The 16,800-nt window shown below is 47.1% G+C and overlaps 1 long non-coding RNA gene and 1 pseudogene across 7 annotated transcripts in view, besides 1 other annotated feature; one reads left to right on the forward strand and one right to left on the reverse strand.

Moving 5' to 3' along the window:
- The window catches only part of LOC105379271 (uncharacterized), a 114,785-nt gene that overhangs the window by 67,731 nt on the left and 30,254 nt on the right, over window positions 1-16,800 (reverse strand). The window contains exon 3 of one of the 7 annotated variants that reach the window (XR_949081.4): window positions 4,861-5,471. The exons of the other annotated variants lie outside the window; for them this stretch is intronic. This is a non-coding gene — a long non-coding RNA (uncharacterized LOC105379271). Of the gene's footprint in view, window positions 1-4,860; window positions 5,472-16,800 lie in introns of those variants that run through there. 7 annotated transcript variants of the gene reach the window in all.
- Window positions 2,386-2,887: an enhancer, noted in NCBI's record as "H3K4me1 hESC enhancer chr1:143422995-143423496 (GRCh37/hg19 assembly coordinates)". NCBI's record gives its function as "activates a minimal SCP1, AML or CMV promoter by ChIP-STARR-seq in naive H9 embryonic stem cells {active_cell/tissue: H9 hESC(naive)}" and the evidence as "EXISTENCE:reporter gene assay evidence [ECO:0000049][PMID:30033119]".
- SNX18P22 (sorting nexin 18 pseudogene 22) lies at window positions 10,131-11,085 on the forward strand (annotated as a pseudogene).

Consider the following 16,800-nt stretch of genomic DNA (forward strand, 5'->3'; position numbering starts at 1 on the left):
TATTGTGAGATGCACTGTTTCAGGAAGTCCCTTGCCCTCCTAAAAGCCACCCTACTTCTCTCTAAGGAGAATGGCCCAGTCCTCTCCCGAGTTCACACATGGTAGGCGATAGCATTGCTTTTGTGTAAATTACATAATGCAAATTTTTTTAAATCTTTGCCTTAATACTTTTAAATTTTGTTTTATTTTGAATGACTAGCCTTCATGGCCCCACTTTTTTGTATCCCAACTTGGAATGTATGAAGGGTTTTGGTCTCCCTGAGAGTGGTTCGAGGCAGCCAGGGCTTACCTGTACTCTGACTTGAGAAAAGTTGGATAAAAGTGTTCACCTTAAAAAAAATTGAATGACGAAGCATTAACAAAAACAGTATTTCAGTACAGTGGACAGCTTAGCATTTTGACAATTGGGAATAAAATGCTCATTTCTGAACTGTACAATGTAAGACACAAAAACAAAACACTGGAAATGGAAATTCAATTGTCATTATAGACTGGATACTGCTCTACATGACTGTGACCAAAGTCAGATAGTTGAAAGAGATTTCTTTCCAGAGAACAAGACATGAACAGGTTTATTTACAGAAAACAATGAATTCTCATATATCTAACCTAAAATATAGCAGATTCTTTCCGAACAAGTCTAATGTAGACAGTAAAATTAATAGGCTAAAAATTAAACTCCATCAAACAAGATGAACTCTGAGAGAATAGATGGGGCAGGCCGCCATCTTTCCGGTTCAGGCAACTTAGTCATTCCAGCCTGAGGGCTTTGGAGAGTATAAACCGACAAGGGGCAGAAGAGATCCCACAGCACAGCATAGCTGCTTTACCAAATCATGGCCAGAATGCTTCTGTAAGCAGGCCCCCGACCCTGTTGCACATCACTGTACAGGACCTCCCAAATGGGGCCTCCAGCTACCGCCACCAGCATTCCTTGGCCAATAGAAATTTGAAGTGTTCACGGGACAGAGCTCCCAGAGAGAGGGGCAGGCCACCACCTTTGCTGTTTGGGTGACTAGCCGTTCTGGTTTGCGGGCTTTGGAAAGCCCAAGGTGACAAGGGGTGGAAGAGGAACCTCAGCGCAGCACGGCCACACTACAAAAACGTGGCCAGACTCTTGTTTAAGTCAGTCCCCGACCACATTTCTAATCAGCAGGTGAAGCCTTTCAACCAGGGTCTCCAGCTGCCTTCACTGCTGTTCTCTGGCCGACAGAGGTTTCAGGCCTCCCTGAGTCAGAGCTCCCAGGGGGAGGACCAGACTGTTGTCTTTGCTGTTGGGGCAACTCAGCCATTTCAGCATTAGGGCTTCAGAGTGTCTGAGGCAACCAGGAGTGGAAGGGAACACCCGGCATAGCACAGCTGCTCTAGAAAAACATGCCCAGACTTTTTTTTTTTTAACTCAGTGCCTGTTTTTGTTCCTCCTGACTAGATAAGACTTCTCAACTTGTCTCCAGTCACATCTTATAGGTGTGTTCATACTGGCAACAAGTTCATACCTCAGTGGCACAGAGCTCCCAGAGGAAGGGGCAGGCTATCATCTTCCCTGGAAAATACAAGGCAGTTAGGGACTGGAGGGGACCCCCAGCATACCACAGCAGCCTGACAGAAAAGTGGCCAGACAGTCTACTTGATGGGCAGGTCCTACTGACCTGGGTCTCCAGCCAGTCCACCATCAGAGCTATCCAGCCAGTAGCAACTCAGCAATTCCCTGGACAGAGCTTCCAGGAGCAAACGAAATTCTCTCTGCCATTGCCTCCGCAGTGAAACTGCCCTTGCTACCCTCAGAATATCAAGGGAGCAAAGACCCTAAGTGCCATATTGACACCTCCAATAAGCTGCGGTTGACCCAATGAACAAGCCAGTCCATCTCCCACGGGTACCACACACCCCCCACTGCTCATCACCAGAGAGGGAACACTGGCTTGGCCTCACAACACAGACCCTCCATCCTGGGCTGATTACTCTAAGTGATTGCTAACTCACATCTCTATGGGATGGAGTACCCAGGAGACAAGCGGAGTGGTGGAGCAGCAAGTCAGGTGATGTGGAGCCCAGAGAGCAGGGACACCTATCTCTCTAGGCTCCACGTGCCCTTGTGAGATACTTTATCCCAGCACTTTAGGAATGCTAAGTTCAGATCAGCCCCATCTCATGTTCAAGATTGCCCAGCAGAGATCAGGTCCCAGAGTTCCCCTCCTCAAAAAGGGGACTTGCTTAAAAAAGAAGCCTGGCCATGTTTGTGTAAAGCAGCTATGCTGTGCTGGGGGTTCACTTTTGAGAGAGTTCTCCTCTGAGACCTGATCTCTGCTGGGCAGTCTTGCACATGAGATGGGGCTGGTCTGATATCAGCACTCCTTTGTCTGCTTGCCTCTCCCAGGACCCCAGCCTGGCCACACCTGCATACAGGGCACTCTCGGATGCCCACAGCATAGCTTCCGTGCTAGTGGACTGTACCTGATCAGTGGAGAGCTGCAGCAAGGTGGCCCCAACAGCCACGCACCAGCCTGCACATTACGTCTCCATACTGCAGCCCTTTATATGGAAACTTCCTACATCACTTTGCTGTGTGTGTTTACACATGTGGGTTTTGCTGTACTTGCCCTGACAGCACAGGGGAGTGCAGGACACACCCCAACCCACACCAACTGCCATTGAAGACAGAGCCTTGGTGGGCACAGAACCAAGAACCCCACCCCTGCCAGCACCTAACCCTTGAGCTAATTCTGTGCAGAGAAAAAGGGACCTTCTTATACCCTGAGTGACCACTGTTGCTTTGAGGGGCACAGAGAAGGCACCATGGCCTGCACTGGCCAGCAGCCCACCCTGAACCAACACTACCTCCAGTGCAACACACACACAGCAGGGGACCCCTGGCCCACACCCCAGCTGTCTTGCCTCCACCACTGGGTGAATGCCCGCAGGGAGGCAGGGACTTTTGCATCCACTAGCATTCTGCCACAGTTGCCACACTTTGGTCCCCTCAGTGCAGTGGACTCCAAACCTCCAAGAGCCAGAGAACAAAGTTGGGGCCCAAGACAAGTTCCCCAGAGTTAAAGCACACAGTCCAGGAATTGGAAGCTGCACATTGGCCCCCCTAAAATCCTCCAAAAACAAAGCCAGTTGGTTGAATCCACCTTATCCCACAATGAAACCCTCAAGATCATCAAATACAATAAAACAAAAATACCCTGTCCGAAGGTCAGCAACCTCGAAGATGGAAGGTGGATAAGCCCATAAAGATGAGAAAGAATCTGTGCGAGAACACTGAAAACTCAAAAAGTCAGCATGCTTTCTTTCCTCCAAATGACTGTATCAACTCTCCAGCAAGTGTTCAGAACTGGGCTGAGGCTGAGCTGTCTGGAATGATACAAGCAGGGTTCAGGATATGCGTAGGAACAAAGTTCACTGAGTGAAAGAAGTATGTTGTCATGCAATACAAGTGAGCTAAAAATCATTGTAACACATTGTAGGAGCTAACAGACAAAATAGCAAGTATAAAGAAGACATAACCGACCGAATAGAGCTGAAAAGCACACTACAAGAATTTTCATAATGCAGTCACATAGTGATTATGTGTGATTGCATTATGAAAATTATTGTAGTGTGTGTGGGCACCTGAGATTGCCCTGTAAGCAGGTGTGGCCAGGCTGGGGTCCTGGGAGAGGCAAGCAGACTAAGGAGGACTGTCACACCAGCTCCATCTCATGTGCAAGACCACCCAGCAGAATAGACCAAGCAGAGGAAAGAATCCCAGAGCTTGAAAACTGGCTTTCTGAAATAAAACAGGCAGACAAGAATGGGGGAAAAAAGAAGGAAAATGAATGAACAAAACATCCAAGAAATATGAGATTATATAAACGACCAAATCTATGACTGATTAGTGTACGTGAAAGAGATGAGGAGAATGGAACCAACTTGGAAAACATACTTCAGAATATCATTCATGAGAATATCCCCAACCTATCCAGACAAGCCAACATTCCAATTCAGGAAATCCAGAGAACCTCAGTAAGATAAGCCATGAGAAGATCATCCCCAAGACATATAATCATCAGATTCTCCAAGGTCAAAATGAAAGAAACACTGTTAAAGGCAGCTAGGGAGAAAGGCAACGTCACCTGCAAAGGGAATTCCATCAGACTTAGCAGACTTCTCAGCTGAAACCCTACAAGCCAGAAAAGATATTCAACTTCTTAAAGAAAAGAAATTTCACGTAGTATGGCAGAGACAGATATACCATATAATAACATGGTGTTATTATACATGGTTAAAAGAAAAAGAAATTTCAACCCAGAATTTCATGTCCAGCAAAATTAAGCATCATAAGTGAAGGAGAAACAAGATCCTTTTCAGACAAGCAAATGCTGAGAGAATTCATTATCACCAGATCTACCTTACAAGAGCTCCTGAATGAAGCACTAAATATGGAAAGAAAAGACCATCACCAGCCACTACAAAAATGCACCGAAGTACACAGACCAGTAATGCTAAAAACCAACCACATACACAAGTCTGCAAAATAACTAGCTGACAGCATGACGACAGGATCTAATCCACACATACCATTACTAACCTTAAATGGAAATGGGCTAAATGCTCCGATTGAAAGACACAGGGGGGCAAGCTGGATAAAGAACAAAGACCCATTTGAGTATGCTGTCTCCAAGAAACCCATCTCACATGCAGTGCCATACATAGGCTCAAAATGAAGGAATGGTGAAAAATCTTTCAAGCAAATGGAAAACAGAAGAAATCAGGTGTTACACTCCCAGTTTCGACAAAACGTATATACCAATAAAGATAAAAAAAGACAGAGAAGGTCATTACAAAGGTGGCCCTGACCTTTGATAAATCTCGTTATTGATTGATACCAACATGGGCTATCTTTATTGCCCAAACCAACAGGATAATTTGCTGAGGTTGTGGAGCTTCTCCCCTGCAAAGAGTCCCTGGTCTCCCAAAATCTGGTTGAGATCTAAGTTTGATTTTTCTGTACAACTCCTTTTCTGAAGTTTTACTCATTTCCAACAAGGAAGGCAAGTTTTCCTGCTTCTGTGGTGATGGAGAGCAGGCACCTCCTTTCCTGAGTTTCAGCTTGCTTCTGACAGGGAAGGTGAGTGTAAGTTGTTTTCAGCTTCTAAGATGGCAGAGAACGATCACCAGCCTGAGCCTTGTTTCCAGGTGAGTAGCTGAATTAGAGTTTTGTCTTAAAATTTGTCCTTAATGACTAAAATTTAAGATTACTCACCAGCTGCTTTTAATTTCTGCTTTTAGTTTCTCCTTACCATTAGAACACTCAGTAATCATATGAATTGTGCATTTGTTGTTTTGCTTAACTCTTTTTGTTTGTTTATGCTTGGGGCTTTATTGTTGTTTCACTTTTCTCCCTTCTCTTCCTGACTTGGTCAAATCCAAAGGAATTTTCCAAATTGTGGGGAGCAAGGCCTCTGAATTGGCTAAAACTCCTATGGCTGCAAACAAACAAACAAACAAATAAACAACAACAAAAAACATTCCAGTTAGCAGAAATTATTTTTTAAAACTTTTTTTTTTTTACATAAGTGGTCTCATCTACATAACAAGGCCACCCTTTTGCTAGCCAAGGCTAAACTGAAGGAGTAGTGGTGGTGACCCAGTGTGAAGATTCTGCCCTGTTCACTACAGAAACCTGAGTTTGGTTCCTAAGTCTAGTTCTTTCTGTTTGATATTTATGTTACTTTTAAAGCGTCAGCGGTTTGTCCCAGCTATGATGTGGTAATAAAAGATTCAAAAGGATTTTCTTCACAAGTTCTATGATTAAAAGCTTAATTAAAAGCAAATTTCTTTTTTTTTTTAAATTATACTTTAAGTTCTGGGGTACATGTGCAGAACATGCAGGTTACATAGGTATACACATGCCATGGCGGCTTGCTGCATCCATCAACCCATGATCTACATTAGTTATTTCTCCTAATGCCATCCCTCTCCTAGCCCCCCACCCTGACAGGCCCTGGTGTGTGATGTTCCCCTTCCTGTGTCCATGTGTTCCCATTGTTCAACTCCCAGTTATGAGTGAGAACATGTGGTGTTTGGTTTTCTGTTCTTCTGTTAGTTAGCTGAAAATGATGGTTTCCAGCTTCATTCATGTCCCAGCAAATGACGTGAATTCATCCCTTTTTATGGCTGCATAGTATTTCGTGGTGTATATATGCCACATTTTCTTTATCCAGTCTATCATTGGTGGGCATTTGGGTTGGTTCCAAGTCTTTGCTGTTGTGAACAGTGCCGCCATAAACAGACAGGTTCATGTGTCTTTATATTAGTATGATTTATAATTTTGGGGGTATATACCCAGTAATGGGATTGCTGGGTCAAATGATATTTCTAGTTGTAGATCCTTGAGGAATTGCCACACTGTCTTCCACAATGGTTGAAGTAATTTATATTCCCACCAACTGTGTAAAAGCTTTGCTATTTCTCCACATCCTCTCTAGCATCTGTTTTTTCCTGATTTTTTAACGATGACCATTCTAAGTGGTGTGAGATTGTATCTCATTGTGGTTTTGATTTCCATTTCTCTAATGACCAGTGATGATGTGCTTTGCTTCACATGTTCGTTGGCTGTATAAATGTCTTCTTTGGTAAGTGTCTGTTCATACCCTTTGCTCACTTTTTGATGGTTTTTTTTTTCTTGTAAATTTGTTCTTTGTAGATTCTGCATATTAGCCCTTTGTCAGATGGATAGATTGCAACAATGTTCTCCCATTCTGTGGGTTGCCTGTTCACTCTGATAATAGTTTCTTTTGCACTGCAGATACTCTTAAGTTTAGTTAGATCCCATTTGTAAATTTTGGTTTTTGTAGCCATTGCTTTTGGTGTTCTAGTGATGAAGACTCTGCCCATGGCTATGTCCTGAATGGTATTGCCTAACACAAGGACATTTCTGTGCCTGACTGCTATACCACCCAAAGTAATTTATAGACTCATTGCTGTCCCCATCAAGCTACCATTACTTTCTTCACAGAATTAGAAAAACTACTTTAAATTTCATATGGAACCAAAAAAGAGCCCACATAGCCAAGGCAATCCTAAGCAAAAACAGCAAAGCTAGAGGCATCACAGTACCTGACTTCAAATTATTCTACAAGGCTACAGTAACCAAAACAGCATGGGGCTGGTACCAAATCAGATCTATAGACCAATGGAACAGAACAGAGCCCTCAGAAATGACACCACACATCTAAAAGCATCTGATCTTTGACAAACCTGACAAAAACAAGCAATGGGAAAGGATACCCTATTTAATAAATGGTGTTGGGAAAACTGGCTAGCCAAATGCAGAAAACTGAAACTGGGCCACACCCATACACCTTAAACAAAAATTAAGTAAGATGGATGAAAGAGTTAGAAGTAAGACCTAAAACCATAAAAAATCTAGAAGAAAACCTAGGCCACCAACCTCAGGGGAAATGACCTGTAGTGAAATGCATGGTACAAACATGCATTCCCTGCTTCCTTTAGTGGGCAACGTTGATGGCTAGTCCAACCACTTCAGGCACACCCTTGCAAACGCGGCTGGTTGCTTTTTGAGCCAGCTTGGCCTTGCCCGGCATACACAAGCCTCAATGCAACAACTTTCCTAAAAATGGAGCCCCACAGAGGAAATGAGCAGCAAGCTCAGAAGCAGGGTGTGCACTGCCTTTGGGGCTCCAGTCCATGCCTCAGGGCTTGTATGGGACTGCAGGATTCTTGGTTGCCAAGAGGTAGACCATAGACCAGCCGAGGAGGACTTTATGTTCAAGGGCAGAAAGCAGCCAGGTTTACCACCCAGGGGACTCGGCCTTCTGTGGCCCCGGCCAGACTTAGAATTTGGCTCAAAGCAGGACCAGCTCACTCGGAGTAGTGTGTCAGTAGCTGGGGCCTGTACATGCTAGGCAAGGCTAAGCTGGCTCAAAGAGCAACCAGCTACCACTGCAAGGGTGCTTCTGGAGGAGGTGGAGCAGCCAGCAACCTCAGCTACACAAGGAAGCAGGGATGGCCAGGTTCCCACAGCATGAGTGGCCACCGCCTGATGGCTGATCAAGCAGAGGCCTGAGGAAAAGCAGATGGCAGTTGGGCCCTACCTCTAGGGTAGAAGAACTGATGTACTCTGACTGGTAGTGAGTGAGGTTGGTGGTGGGTCCACCGGCTCCTGGCACACCCTTGCAGAGGAGGCTGTTTGCTCTTTAAGGCAGCTTGGCCTTGCCTGGCATGCACAGGCCCCAGGTACTGACACGCTGCTCCCAGTGAACTTGTTCTGCCTTGGACCAAATTCTAAGTGGCTTGGAGTTTGCCCAGCATGCACAAGCCTCAGTGTAATAACTGTGCAACAAACGGAGCCACATAGACGAAACGAGCAGCAGGCTCAGAAACAGGGTGTGCCCTGCCTTTGGGGCTCCAGTCAATGCCTCATGGTTCCTATGGCACTGCGGGTTTCTTGGTTGCCTAGCTGCAGACCACAGGCTGTCTTGAGGAGGACTTTATGTTCAAGTGCAGAAAGTAGTCAGGATTACCATCCAGGGGACTCTGCCTTCTGTGGTCCTCTCCAGACTTAGAATTTGGCCCAAGGCAGGACAAGCTGACTCGGAGCAGAGTGTCAGTACCTGGGGCCTATGCATGCCAGGCAAGGCCAAGCTGGCTCAGAGCAACCAGCCACCTCTGCAAGGCTGTGCCTGTAGCAGGCGGACAAGCCAGCAACCTCACCCGCTCAAGGAAGCACGGATGGCGAGGTTCCAACAGCATGAGTGGCTGCCACCTGATGCCTGATGGAGCAGAGGCCTGAGGAAAAGCAGGTGGCATATTTAACTCTTTAATCAATCTTAAGTTATTTTTTGTATAAAGCAGATGGCACTAGTCCATGCCTCATGGCTCATATGGCACTGCGGGCCACAGAAGGGCGAGTACCCAGGGTGGTAATCCTGCCTGCTTTCTGCACTTGAACATAAAGTCCTCCTCAAGATGGCCTGTGGTCTGCCTCTTGGCCCCACCTTTAGGGTAGAAGAACTGATGTACCACGTCTGGCAGTGAGTGAGGTTGGCAGCTGGTCCATCTGCTCCTGGCACACCCTTGCAGAGGTGGCTGCTTGCTCTTTGAGCCAGCTTGGCCTTGCCTGGCATGCACAAGCCTCACTGCAACAAGTGTGCTACAAATGGAGCCATATAGAGGAAATGATCAGCAGGCTCAGGAATGGGGCGTGCACTGCCTTTGTGGCTCCAGTCCATGCCTCAGGGCTCGTATGGCACTGTAGGTTTCTTGGTCGCCAACAGGCAGACCACAGGCTTTCTTGAGGAGGACTTTATGTTCAAGTGCAGAAAGCAGCCAAGATTAGCACCCAGGGGACTGGGCCTTCTGTGGCCCTGGCCAGACTTAGAATTTGACCCAAGGCAGGACAAGCTGACTCGGAGCAGAGTGTCAGTACCTGGGGCCTAGGCATGCCAGGAAAGGCCAAGCTGGCTCAGAGCAACTAGCCACATCTGCAAGGCTGTGCCTGTAGTAGGCGGACAAGCCAGCAACCTCAGCTACTCAAGGAAGGAGGGATGGCCAGGTTCCCACAGCCTGAGTGGTTGCCGCCTGATGACTGATAGAGCAGAGGCCTGAGGAAAAGCATATGGCACTGGGGCCCTACCTCTAGGGTAGAATAACTGATGTAACCTGACCAGCAGTGAGTGAGGTTGGTGGCCGGTCCACCGGCTCCTGGCACAACCTTGCAGAGGTGGCTGGTTGCTTTTTGAGCCAGCTTGGCCTTGCCCAGCATGCACAAGTCTGTGCAACAACTGTGACACAAATGGAGCCACACAGAGAAAATGAGCAGCAGGCTCAGGAGCAGGGTGTGTGCTTCCTCGGGGGCTCCAGTCCATGCCTGAGGATTCATATGGCACTGCGGGCTTCTTGGTTGCAAAGAGGTAGACCACAGGCCATCTTCAGGAGGTCTTTATGTGGAAGTGCAGAAAGCAGCCAGGATTACCACCCGTGGGACTCGGCCTTTTGTGGCCCTGGCCTAACAGAATTTGGCCCAAGGCAGGACAAGCTCACTCAGAGCAACATTTCGGTACCCGGAGCCTGTGCATGCTAGGCAAAGCCAAGCTGGCTCAAAGAGCACCCAGAGCATCCATTCTGGTGGAGGAGCCAACCACATGGCCAGCTTCTGGGTGAGGGCACAGTGCCACATCTTCCATCACTTTCTGATATATCCCACCAGCACTGAAGAGACAGCCTGGAGAGAGTGCAAGAGGAAGGCTGAGAAGGATGAGATAGTGAGTGCTGGCTTCTTTCTGACCCTCAGCACATCCCCAGGTGGTGACCATCAACCTTTAGGGGTGGGAGAGCAAGATTGATGGCTTCAAATGCTTCCCAAAGAAGATGGACACAGGCCACTCAGCTCAACCTCACAGCCAATGAGTTGACAAGCAAGCAGATGACAGTGACAGGCTTTTAGAAAGAGCATCAGAAGGTGGCCAGTTTTTCTTCAGCCTCAGCCAGGCCTTGGAAGTTGACTAGGCCATCCACTTCACCAGAGATGCCTTCAAGAACATCAGTAAGCTCCTTGCCGGTCAGTCCAGGAAGGACCTGGACCCAGCCATGGACCTGTTAGTGCTGTCTCAGGGACACAAGACAAACATCCTGGACATCATCCACATACACAAGGAAGCTCTTACCAAAGTCACGGAGAACAGACAACATGTGGCAGAAGGGAAGACAGAGGTGCAGAGGCTGATGGCGTCATTATCACAGGAACAGGATTTCTTTGGCCACTTTGGCTGAAATTCACCACTTCCATCCAATTCACTCAAGTGAGAGACTTGAAATCACAGATGGAGCATTTCTTTCAACAAGAGATACTATTTTTTCAAAAAGTCACCTAAAATTTGATAGTGTTGAATGACTAGCTATTCGAGTGTGGACTTTTTCCAGTTCACGGGTACTTTCTACAGCAGAATGATAACAGTATCAAAGAGCTGGTGCCAGCTATCGGTGGTAGTACAAGGATGACTTTGTGCTCAACTGAAACCCAGCTGAATATAGAATTGTGTAGGGAAGTGTTAATATGGTGATAGAATAGAAACAGTAGCAAATGAACTAAATCATACTATGAATGCCTACACTACCATTATAACTTTTTGAAGAATGATAATACCACTTACTTTATTGCCTTTTGAAGTAGGAATATTTTAGTGGATATCCTATAGATCTGAAACCTTATAAAGAATCCCAAAGAAGCTGGCTGGATAAAGCCTGCTATGGATGTCTTTATACTCAAAGACTGATGAGGCAATTCGAATATGTGTCCCCACCAAATCTCATGTTGAATTATGCTTCCTAATGTTGGAGGTGGATCCTGGTATAAGGTGATTGAATCATGAAGGCAAATTTCTCATGAGTGGTTCAGCACCATCCCCTTGGTACTGTCCTCACAATCATGAGTGACTTCTCGTGAGATCTGGCCACTGAAAACTCTATATCACTCCCTACTCTCCGTGATTTCCTCTTGCCATGTGAGACAATTCACTCTTTCATTACCTTGCACAATGATTGAAAGATTTCTGAGGCCCCCCAGAAGAAGAAGCACTAAGCTTCCTGTCCACTCTGCAGAACCATGAGCCAATTAAACCTCTTTTTCAAGATAAATCTTACCAAAAATGGCAAATGAGGACTGGAGCATTGCTATAAATATACCTGAAAATGTGGAAGCAACTTCGGAACTGGGTAATGGGTAGAGGTTGGAAGAGTTTGGAGGGCTCCAAAGAAGACAGACAGATGAGAACATTTTTGGATCATCTTAGAGACTGGTTAAATGGCTGTGACAAGAATGCTGACAAAAACATGGACAGTGAAGGCCAGGCTGAGGGGGCCTCAGATAAAAATAAGAAGCTTTCTGGAAAATGTCTCTCTTTTGGATATGGAAAGCTTACACAATGCCTGTACCATCATTGTACCTTAGACGCAGTGAACTTGCTTTTTATTTCAGAGACTCGTAGGCAAAAGAGAATGTAGCCTTGACCCAGATGAGACTTTGGACTTTGTAACTTTGAGTTAATGCTGAAATGAGTTAAGACTTTGGGAGACTGCTGGCAAGGCATGACTGTATCTTGCAATGTGAGAAGGACATGAGATTTGTGGGGTCAGGGACAGAATAATACGGTTTTTCTCTATGCCCCTTCCAAAACTCATGTGAAAGTACACTCCCTAATGTTAGAGTCGGGGCCTAGGTGGAAAAAGTTTTAATCATAAAGGGGTGGGAGTGGATCCTTCACAAATGGCAAAGCACCAAGCCCTTAATGCCATCCTCCTGATAGTGAGTGAGTTCTCATGAGATCTAGTAGTTTAAAAGGCTGTGGAACCTCTTTCCTCTCTCTGTCTTGTTCCAACTTCTGCCATATGAAACATGTCATTGCCGCTTGGATTTCCGGCGTGGTTAGGAGGGGCCTGATCAGTGTGGGCCTGGTCAGTGGACCTAGGTCAGTGAGGACTATTTAGTGGGATCATGGTCAGCAGAGGTCTGCTTAGAGAGGGTCTCATTAGTGGGGTCTAGTAGTGGGGGTTTTGGTGAGTGGGGACCTATTGGCTGCCAGTTGTTTGGTGTCTGGTCAGTGCAAACCTGGGCTGTGGGGCTTGATCAGTGGAGACCTGGTCAGCTGGGGCTTAGTGCTGGCCTGGTCAGCATGGGCTGGGGCACTGGTGACCAGGTCAAGGGGTGCTATTCAGTGGAGGACTGGGCACATGGAACCTAGTCAGCAGACCCTGGTGGGCGTGTCCTCATCAGTGAGGCCCTTGTCAGTGGGGCCCTGGTCAGGGCAGCCTTGTCAGTGGGACCTAATCTGTAGTGTCCTAGTCAGAGAGGACTTGGTCAGTGGTGACTTTTGTAGCACCGGTCTACAGGGTGACCTGGTCAGCGGGGATCTCAGCATTTGGTGCCAGTTCAGTGGGGTCTACTCACTAGGGTCCCAGTCAGGGGCATCTGGTGACCTTAGGCCTGGTTATTAGGGGCCTGATCAGTGGCAACCTGTTCCCTGGAGGCCTGGTCAGTGGGGCCTCATCTTTGGGGCCAGGGAATGAGGTCATGATCAGTGGAACCTGATCAGTGAGGCCTTGTCAATAATGACCTACTCAGTGAGGACTTGTCAGTAAGGACTTGGTCCGTGAGGCCTTGTCAGTAAGGTCCTGGTCGGTGGAGTCCTTGTCATTGTGTGCCCGGCAGTGGGGGCCTTGTTAGTGGGGCCTGGTCATGAGGGTCTAATCAGTGAGGGTGTCATCAGGGAGGACCTGATGTGTGGGGTCTGGTCAGCAGGGACCTGGTCAATGTGGGCTGCTGAGCACTGCTTGGATAAGCCAGGTGCAATGTGCATTATTGAAGGCCCTGTGGACAGCTGGGATAGCCCAGTGATGCCCAAGGGCCTAGTCAAAAGTGGACAAAGCACGTGTTTGGATGGACCTGGGAGATCCTGCTCAGAGATTCTGAAAGGACAAAGGTAAAGGAAGAGCCAGAGTGGCTGCAGAGATGGTCACAGTCTATGGGCTGCACAGGATGAAGGAGGCCAGGGAACAGGCAGGGTGGGCAGTTGGGGTTCAGGGAGAGGCAGGTGCATGCTGGGAGGTCAGACCCTGTGAGGGCTTTGGGGGCGTCAGGTTGGGTAGGCTCCAGGCACTCTCACTCACATAGGATTCCAGAACACTGCTACAAGGCTCTGAGTGTTTGTCCCTCACGTAGGATTCCAGAACACTGCTGCCATTGTCTGAATGTTTGTCCCCCACATAGGATTCCAGAAGCCTGCTGCTGGGGTCTGAATGTTTGTCCCCCATCTAGGATTCCAGAACACTGCTGTGAGGGTCTGAATGTCTGTCCCTCACATATGATTCTAGAACAGTGATGCTAGGGTATGTTTGCCCTTAACATATGATTTCAAAACACTGCTCCTGGATTCTGAATGTTTGTCCTTCACATAGGAATACAGAACACTGCTGCTGGAGTCTGGAAGTTTGTCACTCACATAGAATTCCAGAACACTGCTGTGAGGATCTGAATGTTTGACCCTCACATGGGATTCCAGAACACTGCTGCGAGGGTCTAAATGTCTGTCCCTCACATAGGTTTCCCGAACAATGTTACGAGGTTCTGAATGTTTGTCCCTAACATAGGATTTCAGAGCACTCCTGCTGTGCTCTGAATGCTTCTCCCTCACATAGGATTCCAGAACACTGCTACGAGGGTCTGAATGCTTATCCCTCATATAGGATTCCAGAACACTCCTGCTGTGGTCTAAATGTTTGTTCCTCACATAGGATTCCAGAATACTCCTGCCGTGGTCTGAATGTTTGTCCCTCACATAGGATTCCAGAATACTCCTGCCGTAGTCTGAATGTTTGTCCCTCACATAGGATTCCAGAATACTCCTGCCGTGGTCTGAATGTTTGTCCCTCACATAGGATTCCAGAACATTCATGCTGGGGTCTCAATGTTTCCCTTAACATAGGATTTCAGAACACTGCTCTTGGGGTCTGAATGTTTGTCACTCACATAGGATTACAGAACACTGCTGCTGGAGTCTGAATGTTTGTCAGTCACATAGAATTCCAGAACACTGCTACAAGGGTGTGAATATTTCTCCCTCACCTAGTATTCCAGAACACTGTTGCAAGTGTCTGAACGTTGGTCCGTCATATAGGATTCCAGAACACTGCTGCTGTAGTCTGAATGTTTGTCCCTCACATAGAATTCCGGAACACTGCTACAAGGGTCTGAATGTTTGTCCTTCACATACCATTCCAGAACACTGCTGCCGTGGTCTGAATGTATGTCCCTCACATAGGATTCCAGAACACTGCTACTAGGTTCTGAATGTTTTTCCCACACCTAGGATTCCAGAACACTTCTGCTGGTGTCTGAATGGTTGTTCCTCACATATGATTCCAGGACACTGCTATGAGAGTCTTAATGTTTGTCCTTCACGTAGGATTCTAGAACACTGCTCCCGTGGTCTGAATGTTTGTCCTTCACATAGCATTCCAGAACACTGCTGCTGGGGTCTGAATGTCTGCCCCTCAAATCAGATTCCAGAACACTGCTGCTGGGGTTTGAACGTCTTTCCCTCACATAGAATTCCAGAATATGGCTGGGAGGGTCTGAATGTTTGTCCCTCACATGGGATACCAGAACACTGCTGCGAGGGTCTAAATGTCTCTCCCTCACATAAGATTTCAGGACACTGCTACGAGGTTCTGAATGTTTGTCCCTCACATAGGATTCCAGAGCACTCCTGCTGTGGTCTGAATATTTGTCCCTCACATAGGATTCCAGAACACTGCCACGTGGGTCTGAATGTTTGCCCTCACATAGGATTCCAGAACACTCCTGCTGTGGTCGGAATGTTTGACCCTCACATAGGATTCCAGAACATTCCTGCTGTGGTCTGAAAGTTTGCTCACCACATAGGACTCCAGAACACTGCTAAGAGGGTCTGAATGTCCCTCACATTGTATTCCAGAACACTCCTTCTGTGGTCTGAATGTTTGTTCCTCACATAGGATTCGAGAACACTCCTGCTGTGGTCTGAATGTTTGTCCCTTACCTAGGATTCGAGAACATTCACACTGGGATGTAAATGCTTGCCCTTAACATAGGATTTCAGAACACTGCTCCTGGGGTCTGAAAGTTTGTCCCTCACATAGGATTCCAGAACTCTCCTGCTGTGGTCTGAAAGTTTGTACCGTACATAGGATTCCAGAACACTGCTGCTGTGGTCGGAATGTTTTTCTGTCACATAGGATTCCAGAACACTGCAGCTGGGTTCTGAATGTTTGTCCCTCACATAGGATTTCAGAACTCTGCTACGAGGGTCTGATTGTTGGTCCCTCACATAGGATTCCTGAACACTGCTGCTGGGCTCTGAATGTTTGTCCCTCACATTGGATTGCAGAACACTACTGCTATGGTCTGAACGTTTTTCTGTCACATAGGATTCCAGAACGATCCTGCTGTGGTCTGAATGTTTGTCTGTCACATAGGATTCCAGAACACTGCGGCTGGGGTCTGAATGTCCCTGACATAGGATTCCAGAACATTGCTATGAGAGTCTGAATGGTTGTCTTTCACATAGCATTCCAGAACACTGCTACGAGGGTCTGAATGTTGGTCCCTCACACAGGATTCCAGAACCCTCCTGCTGAGGTCTGAATATTTGTCCCTCACATAGGATTCCAGAACACTCCTGCTGTGGTCTGAATGGTTGTCCCTCACAAAGGATTCCAGAACACTCCTGCTGTGATCTGAATGGTTGTCCCTCACATAAGATTCCGGAACACTTCTGCTGTGGTACGAATGTTTGTGTCTCACGTAGGATTCCAGAACACTGCTACGAGGGTCTCAATGTTTGTCCCTCACATAAGATTCCAGAACACTGCTGCTGGGGTCTGAATGCTTGTCCCTCACATACGATTACAGAACAGTGTTGCTGGGGTGTGAATGTTTGTCCCTCACATGGTATTCCAGACCACTGCTGCTGGGGTCTCAATGTCTGTCCCTCAAAAAAGGATTCCAGAACACTGTTACGAGGGTCTGAATTTTTGTTCCTCACTTAAGACTGCAGAACACTGCTTCGAGGGTCTAAATGTCTGTCCTTCACATAGGATTCCAGAACACTGCTACGAGGGTGTGAATGTTTGTCCTTCACATAGCATTTCAGAACTGCCATGGTCTGAATGGTTGTCCCTCACATAGTATTCCAGAAAACTGCTATGAGGGTCTGAATGTTTGTACCTCACATAGGATTCCAGAACACTGCTATGAGG

This window comes from Homo sapiens (assembly GCF_000001405.40).
Source record: "Homo sapiens chromosome 14 unlocalized genomic scaffold, GRCh38.p14 Primary Assembly HSCHR14_CTG1_UNLOCALIZED".
Classification (NCBI taxonomy): domain Eukaryota; kingdom Metazoa; phylum Chordata; class Mammalia; order Primates; family Hominidae; genus Homo; species Homo sapiens.